Source organism: Homo sapiens, chromosome 5 (assembly GCF_000001405.40).
Source record: "Homo sapiens chromosome 5, GRCh38.p14 Primary Assembly".
Lineage (NCBI taxonomy): Eukaryota > Metazoa > Chordata > Mammalia > Primates > Hominidae > Homo > Homo sapiens.
In genome coordinates this window covers 32,169,344-32,175,343 of record NC_000005.10, presented here as the reverse complement: position 1 = coordinate 32,175,343, position 6,000 = coordinate 32,169,344, and the positions used below count along the sequence as shown (strand labels likewise).

At 46.1% G+C, this 6,000-nt stretch overlaps 1 protein-coding gene across 1 annotated transcript in view, besides 1 other annotated feature; it reads left to right on the top strand.

Annotated features, from left to right (window-relative positions):
• The first annotated feature begins 1,024 nt into the window (after nt 1–1,024).
• The window catches only part of GOLPH3 (golgi phosphoprotein 3), a 49,604-nt gene continuing 44,628 nt past the window's right edge, over nt 1,025–6,000 (top strand). The window contains exon 1 of the mRNA NM_022130.4: nt 1,025–1,534. Coding sequence (NP_071413.1) covers nt 1,310–1,534 — 225 coding nt within the window. The 5' untranslated portion in view covers nt 1,025–1,309. The remainder of the gene's footprint in view (nt 1,535–6,000) is intronic.
• Nucleotides 1,132–1,741: a silencer, noted in NCBI's record as "silent region_15953". NCBI's record gives its function as "represses an Ori minimal core promoter by ATAC-STARR-seq in GM12878 lymphoblastoid cells {active_cell/tissue: GM12878}" and the evidence as "EXISTENCE:reporter gene assay evidence [ECO:0000049][PMID:35858748]".

Sequence of the window (6,000 nt, the reverse complement as noted above, 5' to 3'; positions counted from 1 at the left end):
CAGCAGTTCTGGATAATGGATTTGTGGAAGAGAAGAATCCATCTAAAGCACTCTTTAGCCACAGCCCATGATCACTTTTTTTAAAAAATTTTTATTTTTTGCTTTGCTGTTGTTCCACTCTGTCCATACATTGTTTAATACAGGATGGCACACAATACCATTCCTGGTTAAATGTTTCACTTAACAAGCGCCACCCTCTACTCCTCCAACTCCTGTCTCAGGTTTGACAGCTATTTTTTTAACCTAATTTGCGCACGCCAAGAGGATTTCACCTAGTAACTACACGGAGAGACATCCGATGCGTACAAAGACGTGGCATGAAACGCTGCAGGTTTATTGTCTCTATAAAAAGATCGTTAAGGTCGAGCGTGCTAACGTGTGCGGTACTAACTGTACTCACTACGCCCTGGTCACTTTATAGCACAAGTCCGAGGCAAGGAAAGAAGTTTTACAAACAAAACTGGTCAACTGTTCTATCTTCTTACTCCTGGAAAACAATAAAGGTCCACTTTCAAACCATTTGGACGCACTTGCTCCTTCTAAAGGGTTAGGGAGTCCCGGCAGATAGCGTACCCCTCCCCGCCCAGCAGCAGAGAGCAAAGTCCTTCCTGCCGATCCTGCAGACCCCGGAGTCCAAATGGGACCCCGTCCACACGACCGCGGAGTCGCCTCCGAAGACGGCGGTGTCTGGGGCGTGGAGGGCACGGCTGGAGGCTGAGTGGGGTCCACCTTCGCGTGGCCCAGGCTCTTCCATTCACGGGGGGCCCCGCCAGGTTCAGGCTCCAGCCCTGGGTAGTGAAGGGGAAACGGGGAACGGAAGGAGGGAGGGCACGTCACGGGAGCAGGACTGCAGGACCGCGGGTCAGGGGGCGCAGGAACGCCAAAGAAAAGACAAGCACCGAGGGCCGGGAAGGGTGTAGGCTGCAGTGGCAGCGGATCCCCGGCCGCCGCTTCCGGCGCCTCCCGGCCCAGCTCTCCCGCGCCGACTCTGCCACATCCTCCGGTGACGTCAGCCGGGGCCGCCATATTGGAAAGGCGCCGCCGCCGCCTCCGCCTTGGAGCTCGGGGTGTTTCGGGGACTGCGGCCACAGGCAGGAAGGCGCTCCTCTCCTGCCCCGCCGACGCCCGGCCAGCCCGCTTCGCCCTGACCTGTTTCCTCATGACTGCCCCCGGCCCTGCTGCCGACGGACGTCGCCCCGGCGTCCGGATTTAACACGGAAACCCGGATCGGAGGCCGCGCGGGGAGGAGGAGGGCGACCCGGTCGGTCCTGCGACCCTCTCGGCCCGGCTCGGCGCCTCGGCGGGAGCCATGACCTCGCTGACCCAGCGCAGCTCCGGCCTGGTGCAGCGGCGCACCGAGGCCTCCCGCAACGCCGCCGACAAGGAGCGGGCGGCGGGCGGCGGCGCCGGCAGCAGCGAGGACGACGCGCAGAGCCGCCGCGACGAGCAGGACGACGACGACAAGGGCGACTCCAAGGAAACGCGGCTGACCCTGATGGAGGAAGTGCTCCTGCTGGGCCTCAAGGACCGCGAGGTGCGGGCGCGGCGGGCTGGGCGGGGGGCGGCGGCGCGGGGCCCGGGCGCCAGGTGAGCTCCAGGTAGGTGCCAGGTGAGCGCCCGAGGCTTCCGGCCCGCGCACCTGCCCTCGCTCCGAAGTCCGCGCCTGGTGGCGCCCAGCTGACGCCGAGCGGTGTCGGAGTTGGTTGACCCCCTGGCGCGGCTGGTGCTTTCTGGATCCTCCCCGTAGAGATGGCTTGGATTTTTCCTTACCCCTTTCACAGTCGCTCCTTTCATTTCGACACCCTGGCAGTTTGTATTTCTTCGTCGCCTTTTTTCCGCGTTTTTAACCCGTGTAGACCCCAGGGTGCAAATCCAACCCGGAGACTGCCCGGGAAACTAACAGCTGGAGCCACCAGCGCCACGAACTCTTTGGGTTTTTGCAGGCTTTAGGACCTGGGAGGGGTGCCCGGATCTGCTTGCTGGGGATGTTTTTTTTTTCTTCTTCTTCAGTTAAAGCTTACTGTTGGGAATTACGAAAAACGTAGGCGAAGTGGTAATAGAGGGAAAAGCTCTTTTACTGAGTAAAGTTAAGTTAAGTTTCTCATGAAACCTCCTGGTAAATGACTTTCTAGGTGAACTTACATTAGGTGAGAGATTATTTTTAGTATCGCTTTTATATTTTATCAGTTGATGAATCTCAAAGTCTTGCCGTCTTAAGAAAGGGCTTTTTCATCGAGTGCTTGAAATGTAGGTTTGTGAGTTGATCAGAGGCCTCAAAGCTTCAGGTGGGTTGAAGTTGCAATAGATAATTCTTTGTATTCTGACTTTGAAAGCGTTTATTTTCACTTCAGTGTCCAAAATTTTCACACACAGAAAAGTTGAAAAAGTGATAGATACATATGCATATATACTCTTTCTAGATTCTATGACGTTTTGCTGTATTTGTTATATTTGCCTACAAAAATGATTATTTATTTATGTGGAGACGGAGTTTCGCTCTTGTTGCCCAGGCTGGAGTGCAATGCCGCGATCTCGGCTTACCGAAATCTCCGCCTCCCGGGTTCAAGCGATTCTCCTGCCTCAGCCTCCTGAGGCAGGCATGCGCCACCATGCCCGGCTAATTTTGTGTTTTTGTTTTGTTTTGTTTTTGAGACGGAGCCTCAGTTTGTCGCCCAGGCTGGAGTGCAGTGGCGCGATCTCCACTCACTGCAAACTCCGCCTCCCGGGTTCAAGCGATTTTCCTGCCTCAGCCTCCCGAGTAGCCGGGACTACAGACGTGCGCCGCCATGCCCAGCTAATTTTCATACCTTTAGTAGAGACGGGGTTTCACCATGTTGGCCAGGATGGTCTCGATCTCTTGACCTAGTGATCCGCCTGCCTCGGCCTCCCAAAGTGCTGAAATTACAAGCTTGAGCCACCGCGCCCAGGCCTGATTTTAAGAAAGTTTTCCAAATTCAGGAAGGTGGGCAAAAAAAAAAAAAAAGTCTTACAAAACAACGTAATCTTTCTTGGTCACTGAAACTTACTAGATATAGGCGAGTTTTATATGGACCGTTTATGGACCTTTCTTATTTAGAAATCTAATGAACTAACGGTTAGCTTGATAGATACGTCTGGGGCATTTGCCATATCTTGGTTTCCCATTTCTCAGGTTTTAATAACAGTAACCTTGAAAAAAGTTGATGTTCCTCTGGCTGTGAAAGGGCTGCTGTACCTGTTTAATTATTGAGTTGTGATGATAAAGCAGGCTGTATGTGCAGTTCCTTGTTCTTTGGATGAAAAAGTAAACTAGGGGTATAGCGTCCTAGTAATGTAATTTTTAGAAAATATTCAACTTTAGGTTTCAAAATTGGAAATCTTGATTATAAACATTTGTCTTTTTTTTTTTCTTTTTTTAGACGGAATCTCGCTCTGTCGCCCAGGCCTGGAGTGCAGTGGCGCCATCTGGGCTCACTGCAACCTCCCCCTCCCGGGTTCAAGCGATTCTCCTGCCTCAGCCTCCCAAGTAGCTGGGATTACAGGCATGCACCACCACGCCCTGCTAATGTTTTTATTTTTAGTAGAGACGGGGTTTCACCATGTTTGTCAGGCTGCTTTTGAACTCCTGACCTCAAGTGATCCACTTGCCTCGGCCTCCCAAAGTGCTGAGATTACAGGTTTGAGCCACCACGCCCGGCCATAAACATTTTTCTTTTTGGACAAAAATAACATTATTATAGACATTTTAGAAAATACAAAAAAAAAGAAAAGCAAAATTAAAACATATTCCTGAGTGAACATTTTGGTTTATAGTTTTTGAGAGTTTTCCGTGTGGATAAAACTCGGTGGAAAACAAAAACCTGAAAAAAAAAAAACTAAAAAATAAGCTTTTGGTGTTCTGAGTCACACTGAGAAATTATAGTGAGGAAATACCTATTTGTTTTTTCAAGTACATGTTACTCTAAATCAAGCTTTTCCAACCCGCGGGCCAAATGTGGCCCAGGATGGCTTTAAATGCGGCCCAACATAAATTGGTAAATTTTCTTAAAACATTATGAAATTTTTTTTGCAATTTTTTTTTTTTAAAGCTCATCAGCTATTGCTAGTGTTAGTGTATTTTATATATGGCCCAAGACAGTTCTTCCAGTGTGGCCCAGGGAAGCCAAAAGGTTGGACACCCTTGCTCTAAATGTTTAAGGTGAAGCATATTAACATGCTGTTTTTCGGTGATTGGGTCTTAAGAAGATAATCTAAATAATTTGTTGAAGTTTAACCATACTCACATAATTTAAACAATTTAAAGTTATTTGGCGGGTAATTGAAACCATGTGTTCTGTTTATTTTGCATCAAGAGTCACTCATTATACTTTGCTAGTCATGGCTAAGGTCCAGATGCTTGCTAGCTTATTGTGAGCATTTCTTCCTGATTTCAGCAACCACATGGGGAAATTTTTTCTCTTTTTTTTTAGGCAAGTCCAGAGAGTTGAGGGGTGGGGTTGAGACTACTGGGATTTTGTATTGCTTTAGGTTTTGGTTTTAGGGATTAGCCTATATATTTTTTCCTTTCATCACATCTTTAAAATTTTTTTTTTTAAGAGATGGAGGTCTCAAGATGTTGCCCAGGCTGCACTCAAACTCCTGGGCTCAAGTGATCCGCCCTGAGTAGCTGGGAATACAAGGTGCATGCCATCAAGCCAACTCATCATGTCTTTACACTCTAATAACCAGCCCTGTCAACTTATCTGTTGGTATGTTTTTCCCTTGGGAGGCTCGCCACCATGTTTTTAACCTATAGTACTCTTTTTAGGAGGCAGGAATTGCTGTCTTACCCTGAGCCCAGGCGTTTATGCTAACTCATTGCTTTAACTGATTTTTACTTCAGCATTTATCTTTTTAATGTCTGGATTCTCCTAAGAACTTTAAAAGCTAAACTTTACATTTAAGCAAATCATTAATGTTGGAAATATTTTATATATGTGAGCTAATAACCTTATGTGAATATACTTGTTAAACCAGTACCTAGAGCAAGAAACAGAAGCCCTAGCCCTCCACTTGAGTATCTTTCCAGTCACTACCCATTCCTCAGGGGTAACCACTGGCTTAATATTAGAATTCAGCATAGATTAATTTTGCCTAGTTTTTTGTACTTTGTGTCTGCTTTTTGTTCAATGTGAGATTCATCCATATCGTGTGAGATTGTCCTTTGTTCTTATTGTCTTACCAATTTATTTTTAACATGTTTATAATCTATAATATTTAAAAAATTACTTTGACATATTCTGAGTCAAGTCTCCCTCTCTTTTTTGCTGAACAGAAGGTTCAGTTTTTGAATAAGCAGATGGTCTGGCTTCAGATTACCTGTTAGGAGTGAGTCTAAAGTCATTGTGATTGATTTTTTTTTTTTTCTTTACACATTTCAGATTTTTTTTTTTTAACCAATGATATTTGTTTTTTGCTTTTATAAAACAGGGATGGCTAGTCCCCTCAGAAGATTTTCATGCTCACTTGGGCAGAGAATCAGTGCATAAGTATTTAAGTAACTCTTTAAAGACCACAGTAAGGATGGCAGATAGTTTACACCTAAATTCAACTGCCAAGTAATTAGCAGTATTTCTTTAATTGACCCAGTGTTTGAGGGGGAGGGACAGCAAAAGTGCCAGGTATTTTCCTTTCCCTGTGTGTGTTTATTCTATAGATGCTTTCCATAGAATATTTTCAGGATGCTTTATTGAGAATTACCACAAATAACTGGTGTCATATATGTTTGAATGTCTTCATTGGTGGCAAATCTTAGTCTTTTAAGGTTAGATTTAATTATTTTCAGTGGCCAAGTATAATTTGGAGTATGCCTATGGAACAGCAGAAGCAGAGAGAGGCTCTATAGTCCTGTCCAAAGTGTATTCTTTGGCTTTTACATATAATTTAAGCCTTCTGAGCTTCAGTGTTTTCATGTATAATGGAAAAGTAGTCATTCCATATGATGGTTCTGATTGTACTGCTGTGGATGTTTATTAACTCCTC